Here is an 18,240-nt window from a genome sequence, read left to right on the forward strand (position 1 = left end):
GGGAGGCTGTGGCAGGAGAACTGCTTGAACCCGGGAGGCGGAGGTTGCAGTGAGCCGAAATCGCACCACTGCACTCTAGCCTGGGTGACAGAGCTAGACTCCGTCTCAAAAAAAAAAAACAAAAGAAAAAAAGAAAGAAGACAGGAAAATTAGACAGACTCTCCCCTTCAGATACACAAACAATCATACATACTTCCTCCCCAACTCTGTGTACGGGAACAGAGGCTGGGCAAGGGTCTAAGAAAACAGGAAATGTTAATACAAATAACAGGTCAGGCCAGGAGCAGTGGCTCACCCCTGTAATCCCAGCACTTTGGGAGGCCAAGGTGGGCAGATTACCTGAGGTCAGGAGTTTGAGACCAGCCTGGCCAACATGGCAAAACCCCATCTCTACTAAAAACACAAAAATTAGCCAGGTGTGGTGGTGAGCCCCTGTAATCCCAGCTACTCAGGAGGCTAAGGCAGGAGAATTGCTTGAACCTGGGAGGTGGAGATTGCAGTGAGCTGAGCTGAGATCACACCACTGCACTGCACTCCAGCCTGGGCGACATTCCGTCTCCAAAAAAAAAAAAAAAAAACAAATACACACAAAAAAATCATAGGAGAACACTATGCAGCAATGAAAATAAACACTGTATAATCACATGCAACAATATTGATAAATCTCACAGACATAATGTTGAATGAAAGAAGTCATAATATATGAAGAATATGTACTGTAGGATTCTACTTTCTTTCTTTTTTTTTTTTTTATTTTTGAGATGAAGTCTCACTCTGTCGCCCAGGCTGGAGTGCAGTGGCGCAATCTCAGCTCACTGCAACCTCTGCCCCCCTGAGTTCAAGTGATTCTCCTGCCTCAGCCTCTTGAGTAGCTGGGATTACAGGCAGGCGCCACCATGACCGGCTAAGTTTTGTATTTTTAGTACAGATGGGGTTTCACCGCGTTAGCCAGGATGGTCTCAATCTCCTGACTTCGTGATCCGCCCACTTCGGCCTCCCAAAGTGCTGGGATTACAGGCGTGAGCCACCAGCCCGGCCCTTCCATCACCTTTTAAACCACCTTCATTTTATGTCACCATCATGTTACCTGGATTATGATAAGACAAAGTCTTTTTATCTCTGGTGTTACTTCTTTCTAATCTACTGTCCATACTGAAACCAGAACAGTTAAACGAACAAACAAACAGCTCACTTAAAGTTCTCCTAAGTATGTTTTCCTGTTTAGAGATCCCACCAGCTTGCTTACCAGTGGAACTGATTTGTAGTTTCCTGCTTCCTTCCTGATGCACAGTCCATCACTCCTTACCATGATGGTTACTTTTAATCAAAAGTTATAGTTTGACTACCAGTTCCAAAAAGATGCCATTCTTTCCTGGTAATTTATTCATAGGTAGCATGTCATTTACTTACAGAATATTTCAACTAGTACTGTGTTTCTCAAAATACAAGATCACCTGCAACAAGTTGATGGGTGGGGAGGGCCAGAAGGTTCCAAAATCTGTATTCAAATAAAGAACACCATGTGATTCTAAAGTACAGTAAAGCTTGAGTAAGCTTTACTAAGTAAAGTGCCTCTGACTTGCCTGGTTAAAATAATGAGCCAATAGACATTTCCTATTCCTTTGCCTTCTCCAGCTTCTTCCTGATGCGTCTAAAGCCAGCCAAGGGGAGGTGGGTAAAGGAGAATATGCCATGGGACTCGGGACTGAGAAAACTTTTGTCTTCATTCTCAGCCCTGTTTCTTTTTTTTCTCTTTTTTTTTTTTTGAGACGGAGTTTCACTCGTTACTCAGGCTAAAGCGCAATGGCCTGATCTCAGCTCTTCACAACCTCCACCTCCCGGATTCAAGTGATTCTCCTGCCTCAGCCTCCCGAGTAGCTGGGATTATAGGCATGTGCCACCACACCTGGCTAATTTTTTGTATTTTTAGTAGAGACAGGGTTTCTCCGCGTGGGTCAGGCTGGTCTCAAACTCCCGACCTCAGGTGATCCACCCGCCTCAGCCTCCCAAAGTGCTGGGATTACAAGCATGAGCCACCGCGCCCGGCCATTCTCAGCCCTGTCTCTTCAGCTTGACTTGCTGCCTGTGATAAGCCCACTCCTTTTGAGAGGAGTGGTTCATTTAGTTGAGCTTGCTCTGCCCTTTTGAAGTCTCAGGGCCTTGAATCACCTTGCTCCTTCAGTCTAGAATGAATCTAGTCTTTCTCTCCTAACTCCACCCCTTCAGGGATCATCCAGTTATTAGAACCCTCCAAACAATTTTTCTGGAGTTCTTTGGCCCTTTTTGCAATGCCCCCAATAATCCATGCAAATACTCATTCATAAGCTCAACAAATATCTATTGAGTGCCTGCCATGGGCCAAGTCCTGTTCCAGGACCTAAACACACAACCTAGAACAAATGAAATAAAAATACTTACTCTTCTGAAATTAGTATTCTACTGGAGAAGGCGGACAAGTAGTAAAAAAAAAAATTAACAAACCTATAGGGCATGTTAGAAGAGGAAACAAGAGTAAGGTGGGATTCCTATTTAAGTGGAATGGTGGGAGAGCTTCATTGAGAAGACCTGAAGGGATGAGAGAGCGGGCCGTATGGCCACTTAGGGAAGGAGCAGGTCAGCCGGAAGTACCTGGCAGGTTACAAGAAGAGGAAGGGGTCTATCAAGATTGGAGCAGGAAAGTGGGGAAGAGGTGCGGGAGGTTACAGGGGCTAGATTCCATCAGGCCTTGTAGGCCACTATAAAGACTTGGGTTTTAACTCTGAGTGAAATGGGAAACCATTGCAGGGTTTTAAGCAAAGGAGGGTCATAATTTGACGTTTTTAAAACGTCCGTCTGGCTGTGGAGAATAGCCAAGAGAAGTAAGGTATAATCAAGAAGCTATTGCAATAATCCAGGTGAGCCATGAGGGTGGACTGGACCATGGGGGCAGGTGTGGAAGTCATAAGATTAATATGTGTTTAACTCAAGTTGTGGCATTAATTATGGCTTGCATTAAATGCATCGGTAATATGCTTCTGCGGTGGATTTTTCCACCTTAGATTTCAGGGAATGGAAGTGATGGGAGCGGGTAGGGAAGGTCTGAGGTTACTAAACAGATGGAGCCTCCTGGATCTGCAAACCTCATACGATTCTAGGCCTCTGAGCCTCTGGCGCAGCAATAATTCTGCAGCCGAGCCCACTAGCCGCTTCCCAGTGACCATGCGCAACAGGCAGGTGGGAGCCTATGGAAAGCGCGGACTTTCGGAAAGCTGCACGAGCGCGTTCGGGGAGTCCGGTTCAGCGCCTCTGCGCAGGCGCAGTGGTTCCCGCAGGCTTGCGCGCGCACTCGCTGCGGGACAAGCTTCTGGAAGCTCTTTGCGGTGGCGTTGGTGCTGTTTGCGGATGCTGATGCAGGTACTGGTCGTCCCGGGCCCCGAGTTTCGGGGCCGTGGCCGGGTCGCCGGCTCCGAGGGCGCACTTGGGGCGGGATGGGGGCCGGGAGCAGCCTACCAACGGGCTGTGCGCTGCGCTGCTGCTGCTTCTGTGGGAGGTGCGCACTCCGCTGCGGGATGGGGCTGTTGGCTTCCCTCCATCCCTCCCTGCGCCACTTGGGCACTGTTGACATTTTGGGCGGGATAATGCCTTGTTTTGTTTGTGGTGTGGCGGTGAGGGGGAGGCTCTCCCGTTGTGGCAGGATGTTTAACAGCGTCACTGGTTCTGCCCGTTAGATAACAGTACCACCTCTCGTCCTAGTCGAGCTAACCAAAAATGTGTCCAGACATTGCCAGAGGACCGCTGGGGGGTGAAATCTCTCCTTTTTTCTTCCCTCTGGTTGAGATCCTCTGGCTGCGTCACATTTTCACCGGGCCTCCTATGTAAACTCCCTGTAGACGGAGCCGAGTGTCTTAGTCATCGCGGAGCCCCAGGTGCTCAGCACGGCGCCAGGTACGTGGTGGGCGCCTAATATTTGGCAGAGGAATAAATGACGTCATGCTGCTGTGTGCCGGGCGCTGTACTCGGAAGTGGGTTGTTATTGGTATGGTAGTTGCAATGCGAGGCTGTCACATCCTTCACTTGTCGCATTGTAGTCCCGCTCCGGCTGTATTGTCATTTCCTGGACCCTCTGTGAGCGTGAGGACCCTTTCAGGCCTGTCCACGCCTGGCCCCGCAGCTCATGGCCCCTGGTCTCGTTCCAGCTCATTGTAGTTGCTCCGTCACTTATAGAATGAATGAATGAATGCAACACAGGGCAGTCTGTGTGCAAAGGAGTGCTTTGGGATCAAGCAGAGCATCACACCAGAAGTGACAGTTGAAAGGAGTCAGGCTTTAAAGACGAATAAAAGTTTGGTAGGAGAAAGAAAGCAACATTCCGAGGAGAGGGAATAGCCTTGGTGCAAAGGCTAGGAGAGTATGTAGAGAGAGAGGAGATACTAATTTATGGCTGTAGTGTCAATCGGGTAGCTAGAGCTCAAGAGGTGAGGTCATCAGACAGTGTCTCTAGATCACAATGCCATGGTCCCTGCATGTGAACTTTATCGAGAGACAGTTCGGTGGCTGGTGAGGGACTGTAAGCCGGGGAGTGATAAGATCATATTTTGCATGTTAGAAGGAATTTTTTGGCCACAGTGTGAGACTGGAGTGAAGAACCCTGTACTTAGGCAGTTTCAGAAGGATAGAATGGAGAGGTTCTTAGGAAATAAAATCGCCAGAACTTGGCGATTGATGGGAGAAGTAAGGAGGAAGAGAAATTTGAAAGTCAAATATTAAATTGGGCTTCTGAGTTGAGCAACTAGTGAGAAATGTGTGCCCTTTCATTAAGAAAGGGTAGGAGTTGTTAAATAGCTTTGTGACTGGGTCCCCTTGTGAACCTTTTCTGATAACATTTTGTTTAGGAGGAGTATTCAATCTAAAGCAACTGTTTCCTTAACCCTTAAGTAGCTCCCTGGTTTTTGACTATAAAGAAAATTATGGCTGGGCACAGTGGCTCACGCCTGTAATCCTGACACTTTGGGAGGCTGAGGTGGGTGGATCGCCTGAAGTCAGGAGTTCAAGACTAGCCTGGCCAACATGGCGAAACCCCGTCTCTACTAAAAATACAAAAATTAGCCAGGCATGGTGGTGGGCGCCTATAATCCCAGCTACTCAAGAGGCTGAGGTAGGAGAATCACTTGAACCCAGCCGGGGCAGAGGTTGCAGTGAGCCGAGATCGCACCACTTCACTCCAGCCTGGGCACCAAGAGCGAAACTCCGTCTCAAAAAAAAAAAGAAAGAAAGTTATCCTTTTAATTGAGCAGGGCTTTTCTAGGCCTTTGCTGGTATGTGTGTGGATATATTTCTCTGAACCAAACCAAGAACGATGTTTTTAGGACTAACAACAGTTTTTTTACTTATTTAATGCCTTAATATTTCTTCTTGACAGTTTCTGCAGGACTGTAAACTGGATTCCTGGAACCTTTGATATTCCTGGCTGTGTATAGTGCCTGTTGGTGGACTGTACTGATACTCAACTAGAGTGTGAAGGGACTGGATTCCTGCCCCTGAGACACAATGCAAGCTGTAGTGCCCTTGAACAAGATGACAGCCATCTCACCAGAACCTCAAACTCTGGCCTCGACTGAACAAAATGAGGTCCCAAGAGTGGTTACTTCTGGGGAACAAGAAGCTATTTTAAGAGGAAATGCTGCTGATGCAGAGTCTTTCAGACAGAGGTTTAGGTGGTTTTGTTACTCAGAAGTAGCTGGACCCAGGAAAGCTCTGAGTCAACTCTGGGAGCTCTGCAATCAGTGGCTGAGACCAGACATTCACACGAAAGAACAGATTTTAGAGCTTCTGGTGTTTGAGCAGTTCCTGACCATTTTGCCTGGGGAGATCAGGATTTGGGTAAAGTCACAACATCCTGAGAGTAGTGAGGAAGTGGTGACCCTAATAGAAGATTTGACCCAGATGCTTGAAGAAAAAGGTGAGATTTATAGATGGAGGGAGGAAGCGGGAGACATTGCCTCAAAGTCCGAAAGTAAATTCCTCAAAAGAAGGCAATTTACTGCTAAAGAGGAGTCTGAGGTTAGAAGTTGGGACTGGGTTTGAATCAGCCCTGCCATTTACTGTGTGATTTTGGGCAAGCTGTGTAAACTCTCAGAATGTAAATATTTTTATCTGTTAAAAAGGGATTTTATCTTTCTTGTAGTTTTCTTGTAAAGGTGAGACAAGATAGGATATAATATATGGTGGATGCTCAAGAAATAGTAATTTCTTTCCCATCCCCTTCAAGAACACAAGTTATCTGTGAAAGTGTTTGGAGTCACAGGCAAATCAACCAGCTCAGGCCCTAATGCCTAGTTCCATTGTGTGGACTAGCACGTTGCTAGAGGGTGGCTGTGAGTGTCTTTGCTGATGGAAATGTTTCTGCACTGTTTTGCAATTCAAGTACATGAAAAGCAGCTAGTGCAAATAAGGAACTGAATTTTTTAAATCAAATTTAAAGTTTAAATAGCCACATGCGACTAGTAACTATTTTATAGTGCAGTTCCACAGCCTTAGGGCAGGAAAACCTGGATATATGTATGTAATTACATATTATAAATACAAATGTATAAACTATAAACTGAATTACGGTGATATCATTATAAAATATTGATGTAAAGTCTTCTAGGGTGAGTAGTCCTTTCAGGGAATGTGGCTCGCCTTTTTTCTCAAATTTGTAGCTATTTATGTTCTCAAATATGATACAAATATTTGTATTTTGCAGTGTAATATGCTACAAATATTTGGAATATTTGTAGTATATTATTTACCATAGGGCTCCTGACATATGTGTGACAGTTTGTATTCTGGAAGAGTTCTGAGATAGGGAAATAAATAGTATTTACCTCCATACACTTAATTCGCCATCACGCAGCTAATTAGTGTATCTCAAATTTGGGTTTCCTGACTCCTCTGTGATTTGTCACTGCAGTGTCATGCTTCTACAAAATTAGGGCCTCTTTGTGGAGGCCCCTGCAATAAAGAATTGATTTCGGGCTGGGTACGGTGGCTCACACCTGTAATCCCAGCACTTCGGGAGGCCTAGGCGGGTGGATCACCCGAGGTCAGGAGTTTGAGACCAGCCATACCAACATGGAGAAACCCCGTCTCTACAAAAATACAAACTCAGGCAGGTGTGGTGGTGCACGCCTGTAATCCCAGCTACTCTGGAGGCTGAGGCAGGAGAATCGCTTGAACCGGGGAGGTGGAGTGAGCCAAGATCACGCCATTGCACCCCAGCCTGGGCAATAACAGCGAAACTCCGTCTCAAAAAAAAAAAGATTGATTTCTAGGATTCTGTAGGGTGTAACAGTTTTCTTAAATTCACCCCACTTTTCTCTTTGATTACGTAATTCTAATTCTTAATTTTTATTGATTGTCTAATCACTAAATTTGCCTAAAATTCTTTTCATAAGAAGGTAGAGTATGATTTGAAAAAATAATTTTTCTTAATTGAAAAAGAGCTGTTGACATCCGAGGGTTTTTATGTATGTATTTTTTACTGCTCCTTGTGGAGCAGGGATCACTCATAGGCAGTATGCCCAGAATGGGCCAATCTGAAGGTACTGCATACATTTAGTTCCTATGAGTTTATTAGATGCCTCTTCTCTGTCTTAAGGAATCTGGTGGAGTCAACTCTTGAGACTAACCTGGTGCTTTCATTCAGTTAGCAGGTTTGAGCAACTCTTGAGCAAGGCTTTGTACTAGGACTATGAAGAATACACAGTTTTACCTTACTACATCTTTTAAATTAGGATACTTCACAATTCATTATTGTTCAAATTAAATATTTTTAAACTGAGGGTATACAGAAAGAAGTTTTCGTGAGCTTAGGATTTGAAAAGATTTTTATATGAGCTAAGAGGAAATGCCTAGGTTTTCACAGGAAACTTTTATCTATGGCTGTTCTCTGTTTTAAAGAGTGGGACAACTTTTTGTTTCTTCTGACCTTTTTATCCAGAGAGGCTCAGAGCTCTTAGAACCCTTGTAATTTCCTGGGTGATTAGAACAGTAAGAGTATCTTTTGTTAAAATATTTGGCCTTTTGTCCGTGGTTCCTGAAACAGCTCCTGAGCTATAAAGGAGAAAGACAGTCTTTTTGTTATTTATAATAAGCTCCTTTTAACCACACTTGAGTTTATGTTAACGAGGTGATTTTTGGAAAGTCCTTAGATAACCCTGGAATTGGGGAAGGGTGCTGGTTGCCAGGGGAACCAACCCAGTTGCTTAGAGGGTTGGAACTCAGCTCCACCCCCCAACCTGTCAAAGGGGAGAGGGACTGAAGGTTGAGTTGATCACAGGACCAGTGATTTAATCAGTCATGCCTGTCTATGAAGCTTCCATAAAAACCCAAAAGGACACAGCTCATGAGAGTTTCCAGATAGCTAACCACGTGGCAGTTCCTGGAGAGCTGTGTACCCAGAGATGGCATGGAAGCAGCAAGCCCCTTGCCCTATGCAATGCCTCATCCATCTGGCTGTTCATCTGTATCCTTTGTAATACCCTTTACATTAAACCAGTAAACGTAAGTAAAGTGTTACGTGAGCCACTCTAGCAAATTATTGGAACCCAGGGAGGGGCTCATGGGAACCCCAATTTGTATCTTGTTGGTCAAAAGCCCTGGAGGGTCGGACATGAGACTGGCATCTGAAGTGGAGGTCAGTCTTGGACTGAGGCCTTAACCTTTGGGAACTGATGCTATCTCCAGGTAGATAGCATTAGAAATGAATTAGAGGACACCCAGCTGGTGCCTGCTGGGGAGTCCAACACAGAACTGCCTGCTGGGTGTGGGGGAAACACCCCCACATATCTGGAGTCACAGAATTATTTTGTGTTGTGAGTATAGTAGGAGAAACTGACTTAGTTTTTTTCCTGTTTATCACTTAGAAATATATATATATATATATATATATATATATATATATATATATATACATATATATATATAAGATTTTTAGTCTGAGGAATCTGTATGAACGACTGGACTGGTTTTCTCCCCTTTCCTAGATCCAGTCTCTCAAGATTCTACTGTTTCCCAAGAGGAGAACTCAAAAGAGGATAAAATGGTCACTGTTTGTCCCAATACTGAGTCCTGTGTAAGTTTCCTTTGATGGTTTTTATTCCTAAGTGAATACTTAATTGAGCTCCTACTGAGTGGTATAAAGATATAAAAATAAAAGGCTAGGCACGGTGGCTTACACCTGTAATCCCAGCACTTTGGGAGGCTGAGGCAGGAAGATCGCTTGAGCCCAAGAGTTCAGGGTTGCAGTGAGCTATGATCATGCCACTGCTGCCTTCCAGCCTGGGCAACAGAGCAAGACCCTGTCTCTAAAAAAAATAGAATAAATGTAATCTCCCTTTCAAGGAACTGACGCCTCATTTTCCACATGCAATTTTGTTTCAGTTCACAGAATGCCATGAGTCTGATTGTAATGAAACAAAAACACTTACTAAAATTCAGCAGTTACCACTATTAAAATTAGTCAAGTGAAATAGAAGTTCATTTCCTTCTTTTTTTTTCTTTCTTGAGACAGAGTTTTACTCCGTTGCCCAGGCTGGAGTGCGGTGGCGGTATCTCGGCTCACTGCAGCCTCTGCCTCCCAGGTTCAAGCGATTCTCCTGCCTCAGCCTCCTGAGTAGCTGGGATTATAGGCTCCTGCCACCATGCCCGGCTAATTTTTGTATTTTTAGTAGAGACGGGGTTTCACCATGTTGGCCAGGCTGATCTCAAACTCCTGACCTAGGTGATCCACCCACCTCAGCCTCCCAAAGTGCTGGGATTACAGGTGTGAGCCACTGCATCCGGCCTTGCTTTTTTTCTTTTTAAGAGATGGGGTCTTGTTCTGTCATCTAGGCTGGAGTGGAGTGCAGTGGTGCAAGCATAGCTCACTGCAACCTTGAAGTCCTGGGTTTAAGCCATCCTCCCTCCTCAGCCTCATGAGTAGCTGGGACAACTGGCGCACGCCACTGTGCCCAGCTCATTTTAAAATATTTTTTGTAGAGTTGGGGTCTTGCTGTGTTGCCCAGGCCAGTCTTGAACTCCTGACCTCAAGCAGTCCTCTCCCTTGGCCTCCCACAGCATTGTGATTACAGGCATTAGCCACTGTGCCCAGACAGAAATACATGTCCTTAAATCTTAACATGATAAAGAACATCCTTGGCTGGGTACAGTGGATCATGCCTGTAATCCCATCACTTTGGGAGGCCGGGGTGGGAGGATTGCTTGAGCCTGGGAGTTCGAGAGCAGTCTGGGCAACATAGCGAGACCCTCGTCTATATAAAAAATTTTAAAAATTAGCTGGGCATAGTCACATACCTGTGGTCTCAGCTACCCGGGATCTGAGGTGGTAGAGCTGTAAGGGGGAAAGACAGTCTTTCACTTGAGCCTGGGAGGTTGAGGCTGCAGTGAGCTATGATTACGCCACCGTACTCCAGCCTGGGTAACAAAGTGAGACCCAGTCTCACAAAAAGAAAACAAGATGAGGAATTTATTCTGGATTATATAGGTGGGCCTTAAATGCCATCCCAAGTGTCCTTGCTAGAGAGGCAGGAGGAGATTGAAAACACAAAGAGAAGGTGTTGTGAAGAGTTAGGCAGAGTTTGGAGTGATAGGGCCGTAAGACAAGGAACTGTGGCAGCCACCAGAAGCAGGAAGAGGCAAGGAACAGATTATCCCCCAGAGCCTCTGAAGGGAGCACAGCCCTGCCAACACCTAGATCTCAGACTTCTGGCCTCCAGAACTGTGAGAGAACAAATTCCTATTTTGAGTCACCAAGGTTATGGGAATTTGTTACAGCTCCCAGAGGAAGGTAATACACGTACCAATAGCCATTTGGCTCTACTGCCTTATAAAAAGCATGCAGAGAATGCTATAGAAAGTGTATTTCAAAAATTAGCTGGGTGCGTTGGTGCATGCCTGTAATCCCAGCTACTTGAGAGGCTGAGGCATGAGAATCGCTTGAACCCAGGAGGTGGAGGTTGCAGTGAGCCGAGATCATGCCACTGCACTCCAGCCTGGGCAACACAGTGAGACTCCGTCTCAAAAAAAAAAAAAGAAAAAAAAGGAAAGTGTATTTTAGTGAGTCAGTATTCTTGTTTGTAATTGTGAAGTAATTGCAAGTGTCAGTATGTTGTTGAACATAGATTCTCTGAATATGATGGAAGATAATTGCTGCTCGTAATTGGAAGTTAAAATTTGGAATGTAGTTGCAGATATTATTGTACAGTTATTACCTGTAGTAAGCTTACATTAATTCTGCAAATTTAGGGTTCAGGAATGTAAATCATACCCTTCATTTAATATTTTAGTCCTAGAAATCTATGTGTTAGGGTGAACTTGATCAATGTTACACATTCCAGATAATTCTTGTACAGTATTTAACACTAGAGACTGAATGGAAGAGGCAGGGATTGTGTAATACCCTTGTTCTGAATCACTTATAACAGTCATAGAATGATTAGCCGCTCCGTAGCTTTCTTTGGAATTCTTAAAAACTTGCATGCTATCCAAACCATTCTTTATATCCTATCCAGGCTGGGCACAGTGGCTCAGGCCTGTAATCCCAGTGCTCTGGGAGGTAGAGGACAGAGGATTACTTGAGCCCAAGAGTTTGAGACCAGCCTGGGCAAATAGTGAGACAATGCCTCTACAAAAAATTTAAAAATAAGCCAAGCATGGTGGCACGTGCCTGCAGTCCCAGCTACTGGTGGGAGGATCACTTGAGCCCAGGAGGTTGAGCCTGCAGTGAACCATGAAGCACCACTGCACTCTAACACGGGCGACAGAGCCATAATAGCCTGTCTCAAAAAAAAAAAGTACTTAGGTTCTATTTGGGAATAATCCAATACAAAAGAGCTGTTTGGTGTTCTAGGAATCTATAACATTGAAGGATGTAGCTGTGAACTTTTCAAGAGGAGAGTGGAAGAAGCTGGAGCCTTTTCAAAAGGAGCTATATAAGGAAGTGCTACTGGAAAACCTCAGGAACCTAGAATTTCTGGGTAAAGACACCTTTTCTTCATTACCTAGCGTTTAACCTTGGGTCTCTTTTTGTTCCCTTTTATTGAAAGGTAAGTGCTGTGTGAAGTACTTGGTTTTGGCTGGGGACCCAGGGACTGATAGGACTAATCCTAAAAACTGGTTCTGAAAATGTGCTTTTCTGCAGCGTATCTTCTAGAAAAGGTCTTTGCTTCATTGAATTGGAAATGTGAAGCATCATTTTGATTTCATCAGTGGAATACCTTTTCCCATTTTTGTCTCAAGTTCCAGTATTTATGTCTGTGTATTTTGGTAGCATGTTTTTATCTTCCTTGGAGAACCAGAGGCTATATGTGAATGCTGGGATATCTTTACTCTATGCAAAACAGCAATTTTCTGTTCTTTTCTCTATGAGCAGACTTTCCAGTTTCAAAATTAGAGTTGATTTCCCAGCTAAAGTGGGTTGAATTGCCATGGCTGCTGGAAGAAGTCTCAAAAAGCTCCCGACTAGGTGAGTTGGTGAAAAATACACAACGAAATTAAAGCAGTTGTTTAGCAAGTCTGTTGAGAAGACTCTTTGAAATGTTGGGCTGCCTAGATACTAAAATACAAAGATGATTAGAATAGAGCCCTTGCCTTCCTGAAATGTTCATTTTAGTGGGGGAGACTTGGTTTGGGTCCTCTGAATAGATGCCAGGACATGATTAGCCATGTAAGATCTTTACTGGAGAAAGATTCAGTGAAGGAAAATGAGGAAGGAACTAGAAGAAGCCGGAATAGCCATCAGAGCATAATGCTGGTCTAACCCCTGTGAATGAGAACAGGAAGGAGGGCAGATTGGGTAGGAAAAGTCTTAGACTAAAGTGTCGTTCTATCTTTTTTTTTTTTTTTTTTTTTTTGAGTCGGAGTCTCACACCGTCTCCCGAGCTAGAGTGCAGTGGCGTGATCTCGGCTCACTGCAACCTCCGCCTCCCGGGTTCAAGTGATTCTCCTGCCTCAGCCTCCTGAGTAGCTGGGATTACAGGCGCCTGCCACCAAGCCTGGCTAATTTTTTGTATTTTTAGTAGAGACGGGGTTTCACCATGTTGTCCAGGCTAGTCTTGAACTCCTGACCTCGTGATCGGCCTGCCTCGGCCTCCCAAAGTGCTGGGATTACAGGTATGAGCCACCACGCCCGGCTGCAGTGCAGTTCCAAAAAAGTTTAGGCAGGGCCAAACAGGAGTCCTTGCCATAGTTACCTATCAGAGGAGTCCTGTGTCTCAAAGAAATGGGCCTGTGTAAGTATCCTGTACTCCATCATTGACTGGGAGCAACTCGTGGGAATTTGTGTGAATGCAGTGTTGGATTCATAGAGCAGCAGCAGGGGTTGTCAGGTAATATCCCCGCAGGGGGAGGTGTGAGTGGTGCATTTTTATGGACACTAGAGGACGTATCGAAACAAGAGTGTTAACACTGATGCATACTATATCAAGCACATGTATAAGGAGCTGTGGGAATATACAGGAGCAAGGTTTTAATTCGCATTTGAGTTGAATCTTGAAGGATGAGTAGGAATTCATCCAGTGGACAGCATGCATAATAATTCCATTTTTGTTAAAGGGAAAAAATGTACATATAAATACATGCCTGAATACATAGAGTATATGGATTTTTAATATCTGGAAAACATTCATGTTAACACTGGTTATCTTTGAAGAATTAGGTTTTGTTTTGTTTTCTTGAGATGGAGTCTTGCTCTGTCACCAGGCTGGAGTGCAGTGGTGCAGTCTCAGCTCACTGCAACCTCTGCCTCCCAGGTTCAAGTGATTCTCTTGCCTCGGCCTCCCAAGTAGCTGGGACTACAAGCATGTGCCACCACGCCAAGCTAATTTTTTTTGTATTTTTAGTAGAGGCGGGGTTTCACCATATTGGCCAGGATGGTCTTGATCTCCTGACCTCGTGATCTTCCTACCTCGGCTTCCCGAAGTGCTAGGATGACAGGCATGAGCCACCGTGCCCGGCCAGGATTAGGTTTTTTTATACTTACCTATATCTTACAATTTATATATATTATTATTCTTTTTTTTTTTTTTGAGACAGAGTTACCCAGGCTGGAGTGCAGTGCCGTGATCTTGGCTCACTGCAACCTCTGCCTCCTGGGTTCAAGCAATTCTCTCCTGCCTCAGCCTCCCAACTAGCTGGGACTATAGGCACGCGCCACCACGCCCAGCTAATTTTTTTTGTATTTTTATTAGTAGAGATGGCGTTTCCCCATGGAAAGGAGGTGGATCACTCCTGACCTCAAGTGATCCACCCGCCTTGGCCTCTCAAAGTACTGGGATTACAGGCATGAGCCACTGTGCCCGGCCACAATTTATATATATATATTAAATTTACATTTAAAAAAATAAAAATAGGCCAAGCGTGGTGGCTCACACCTGTAATCCCAGCACTTTGGGAGGCTGAGGCAGGCAGATCATGAGGTCAGGAGATCAAGACCATCCTGACTAACACGGTGAAACCCCGTCTCTACTAAAAATACAAAAAAAAAAAATTAACCAGGCTTGGTGGTGGGCGCCTGTAATCCCAGCTACTCTGGAGGCTGAGGCAGGAGAATCGCTTGAACCTGGGAAGTGGAGCTTGCACTGAGCCGAGATGGCGCCACAGCACTCCAGCCTGGGCGACAGAGCGAGACTCCATCTCAAAAAATAAAAACAAAAGTAAGTTATTACATGTATCAATACCTTGGTTTATCTTAAAAGAAAGAAGCAATGATCCATCTTGCTCTATTCCATCTTCTCAAACATTTATTGTAGTCAACTTATTGGCTGTTTCCAGTATACAATTGACCCTTGAACAACAGGATTAGGGGCCACTGACCGCACCCCCCCCGCCCCCGTACAGTTGAAAATCCATGTATAACCGTTAACTCTCCAAAAACATAACTACTAATAGCCTACTGTTGACCTGAAGCCTTATTGATAACATAAACATAATTACATATGTTATGTGTTTTTTATACTGTATTCTAGTAAGCTAGAGAAAAATGCTATTAAGACAAGAAAGAAAATAACATTTACGGTACTGTACTGTGTGTATCGATCACTAAATTTATGTTGTTTGTCTGAAATGGCAGACAATTGCAGCTGCAGACCTCAGTCTATGGTACATATCAAGCAGTTCAGCTTTTTCTTGAAGTATCATGACTATTCTGTGCTTGTTGGGAGCACTTCCAGCATTACTAGCAGCACTTTGTATGGGTCCCATGATGTTATTCAAGATTTACAGTATTGCACTAAACACAGTGAAAAATAGGAGGGAACCGCAAGAGATCCATTTTTACGGTGATAGGCAATTTCCTGGAGACATAAACTGCTTATGTGGAGATGATTAGCATTACGTGGCTTTTTTTTTTTTGGAGACAGAGTCTCACTCTGTCACGCAGGCTGGAGTGCAATGGCGTGATGTCAGCTCACTGCAGCCTCCACCTCCTGGGTTCAAGTGATTCTGCTGCCTCAGCCCACCAAGTAGCTGTGATTACAGGCATGCACCACCATGCCCAGCTAAATTTTGTATTTTCAGTAGAGACGGGGTTTAACCATGTTGATCTCGAGCTCCTGACCTCAAGTGATCTTCCTGCCTTGGCTTCCTAAAGTGCTGGGTTTACAGGCGTGAGCCACAGCGCCTGGCCTACCTGGCATTTTAAGTGGATACTTAGAGCAGACATTTGAGCTCATTGCAATACCAACAAGAGGTGCCTATGAAATTATTACAGTGTATAGTATGTACTACAGTTTTATGCAGTTATTATTATTATTATTTTGTGACAGGGTCTTGCTCTGTCATTCAGGCTAGGGTGCAGTGGCATGATCACGGCTCACTACAGCCTCCACCTCCTGGGCTGAAGCGATCCTCTCACCTCAGCCTCTTGAGTAGCTGGTATTACAGGCACATGCCACCATGTTCAGCTAATTTTTGTATTTTTTGTAGAGAGAGAGTTTTGTCATGTTGTTCAGGCTGGTCTCCAACTCCTGGGCTCAAACAAACTGTTTGCCTTGGCCTCCCAAAGTGGTGGGATTATGGGGGTGAGCCAGTGCGCCTGGCCCAGTTATTATTTAATACTGTATCTTTACATTTGTTTACATTTCTCTTGACTGTGAATGACACCAAGTACGGCCTGTAAGTGTGTGTGTACGTTTTGATAAATTTTAACTTGATAATTTGTGTACATTTTATAGTAGTAAATGACAAAATAGACTAGTATCTATATATCTTAAAAATACATGACATACATTTTTGGGGTTGTTTTTTTTTTTGACATGTCTAGGCTACACAGTTTGTCTGCAAGTTTTTTCAAATTGTCACAAATCTCCAAAAATTTTTCTAACATGTTTATTGAAAAAAATCCACGGGCTGGGCATGGCGGCTCCCACCTGTAATCTCAACACTTTGGGAGGTCAAAGCAGGAAGACCACTTGAAGCCAGGAGTTTGAGACCAGCCTGGGCAGCATAGTGAGACCCTGTTTCTACAAAAAATTTAAACATCAGCCAGGCACAGTGGTGTGTGCCGTGGTGAGAGGATTGCTTGAGCCCAGGGGTTAGAGGTTGCAGTGAGCTATAATCATGCCACTGTACTCCAGCCTGGATGACAGAACAAGACCCCATCTCTTAGAAAAAAAAAAAAACCACCTGTAAGTGGACACTTGCAGTTCAAATCTGTGTTGTTCAAGGGTCAACTGTGATTACATAAATAAAGGACAACAGTTGTTTTATCATATTTAAGTAGCATTTTGGAGAGGAATTTAACAAATGGATTCTGAAAGTGTTTTGTGTAGTTCTAGCAGCACTGGTATAAATATATGTCCCTTCCCCAATTATCTTACATAAAAGAAAATGCCTCATGTTGATACACAGCTTGTTTTAAAAGTTATTTACGACACACCAGAGAAAAAAGTTTTGACAGATACAGCAGAGTCAATGGCAATAATTAAAAAACAAACAAAAAAACTCAGCCAGGTGTGGTGGCTCACCTGTAATCCCAGCACTTTGGGAAGCCGAGGCAGGTGGATCACCTGAGGTCAGGAGTTCGAGACCAACCTGGCCAACATGGTAAAACCCCATCTCTACTAAAAAATGCAAAAATTAGCCAGGCGTGGTAGTGAGCGCCTGTAGTCCCAGCTGCTAGGGAGGCTGAGGCAGGAGAATGGCGTGAACCCGGGAGGCGGAGCTTGCAGTGAGCTGAGATCACGCTACTGCACTCCAGCCTGGGTGACAGAGCGAGACTCCGTCTCAAAAAAAAAAAAAAAAAAAAAAAAAACCTCATTCAAATCAATAAGGAACACTAAGTCTGTTAGGAAAATGGACTAACTTGAATGGATCACCAACAAAATTTAAAATTTAAATAGCTTGTGAACATGAAAAAAATGTTCAAACTCACTGGCTAACAATGCAGTGTACATGTAAAGCAGTAATACTATTTATTACGCATTAAATTTGCAAAGATTTAAAGAATATTTGACCAGAGATAGTACTCAGGGGCTTCTGCTCCTCATGTGTCATTTAAAGCAGTATAACCTTTCTACCCTTTGGTTTAGTAATTCTGCTTTTATGACTCTGTTTTTTAGGAAGTGTGATTTGATAAAGGTTCAATAAGAGAATGAGGCTGGGTGTGGTGGCTCATGCCTGTAATCCCAGCACTTTGGGAGGCCAAGGCAGGTGGATCACCTGAGGTCAGGAATTGAAGACCAGCCTGACCAACATGGAGAAGCCCCATCTCTACTAAAAATACAAAATTAGCTGGGCGTGGTGGTACATGCCTGTAATCCAGGCTACTTGGGAGGCTGAGGCAGGAGAATCGCTTGAACCTGGGAGGCAGAGATTGCGGTGAGCCAAGATCGCACATTGCATCCAGCCTGGGCAACAAGAGCAAAACTCCGTCTCAAAAAAAAAAAAAAGAGAATGAACAATTATATCTATATGATGATCATCATGTCACTAATTAAAATTATCTTTATGAAGAATTAATGAGTTGCGTGCAGTGGCTCATACCTGTAATCCCAGCACTTTGGGAGGCTGTGGTGGGAGAATCACTTGAGGTCAGGAGTTAGAGACCAGCCTGATCCGCGCAGGGAGACCCCATCTCTACAGATAATTTTTTAGAATTAGCCAGGTATGGTGGCACCTGCCTGTGGTTCCAGCTACTTGGAAGGCTGAGGTGGGAGGATTGCTTGAGCTGGGGAGGTTGAGGCTGCAGTGAGCTGTGATCATGCCACTGCACTCCAGCGTAGG

General features: G+C 44.4%; 1 protein-coding gene across 8 annotated transcripts in view, besides 4 other annotated features; it reads left to right on the forward strand.

Moving 5' to 3' along the window:
* Positions 3,213-3,562: a silencer, noted in NCBI's record as "silent region_20180". NCBI's record gives its function as "represses an Ori minimal core promoter by ATAC-STARR-seq in GM12878 lymphoblastoid cells {active_cell/tissue: GM12878}" and the evidence as "EXISTENCE:reporter gene assay evidence [ECO:0000049][PMID:35858748]".
* ZNF483 (zinc finger protein 483) overlaps positions 3,310-18,240 on the forward strand; it is a 52,958-nt gene continuing 38,027 nt past the window's right edge. For 2 of the 8 annotated variants that reach the window (XM_047422864.1, XM_017014338.2), the window contains exons 1-6: positions 3,310-3,393; positions 3,817-3,924; positions 5,399-5,938; positions 9,006-9,094; positions 11,870-11,996; positions 12,392-12,484. In XM_047422864.1, coding sequence (XP_047278820.1) covers positions 5,527-5,938; positions 9,006-9,094; positions 11,870-11,996; positions 12,392-12,484 — 721 coding nt within the window. In that variant the 5' untranslated portion in view covers positions 3,310-3,393; positions 3,817-3,924; positions 5,399-5,526. Of the gene's footprint in view, positions 3,394-3,707; positions 3,925-3,948; positions 5,295-5,398; positions 5,939-9,005; positions 9,095-11,869; positions 11,997-12,391; positions 12,485-17,576; positions 17,973-18,240 lie in introns of those variants that run through there. The other 6 variants (NM_001007169.6, NM_133464.5, XM_017014337.2 and 3 more) reach the window with 5 other exon arrangements.
* Positions 3,663-3,862: an enhancer, noted in NCBI's record as "active region_28793". NCBI's record gives its function as "activates an Ori minimal core promoter by ATAC-STARR-seq in GM12878 lymphoblastoid cells {active_cell/tissue: GM12878}" and the evidence as "EXISTENCE:reporter gene assay evidence [ECO:0000049][PMID:35858748]".
* Positions 3,974-4,473: an enhancer, noted in NCBI's record as "H3K27ac hESC enhancer chr9:114288123-114288622 (GRCh37/hg19 assembly coordinates)". NCBI's record gives its function as "activates a minimal SCP1, AML or CMV promoter by ChIP-STARR-seq in primed H9 embryonic stem cells {active_cell/tissue: H9 hESC(primed)}" and the evidence as "EXISTENCE:reporter gene assay evidence [ECO:0000049][PMID:30033119]".
* Positions 7,855-8,479: an enhancer, noted in NCBI's record as "OCT4-NANOG-H3K27ac hESC enhancer chr9:114292004-114292628 (GRCh37/hg19 assembly coordinates)". NCBI's record gives its function as "activates a minimal SCP1, AML or CMV promoter by ChIP-STARR-seq in naive and primed H9 embryonic stem cells {active_cell/tissue: H9 hESC(naive and primed)}" and the evidence as "EXISTENCE:reporter gene assay evidence [ECO:0000049][PMID:30033119]".

The sequence above is a fragment of the Homo sapiens genome, chromosome 9 (assembly GCF_000001405.40).
Source record: "Homo sapiens chromosome 9, GRCh38.p14 Primary Assembly".
NCBI classification, from domain to species: Eukaryota; Metazoa; Chordata; class Mammalia; order Primates; family Hominidae; genus Homo; species Homo sapiens.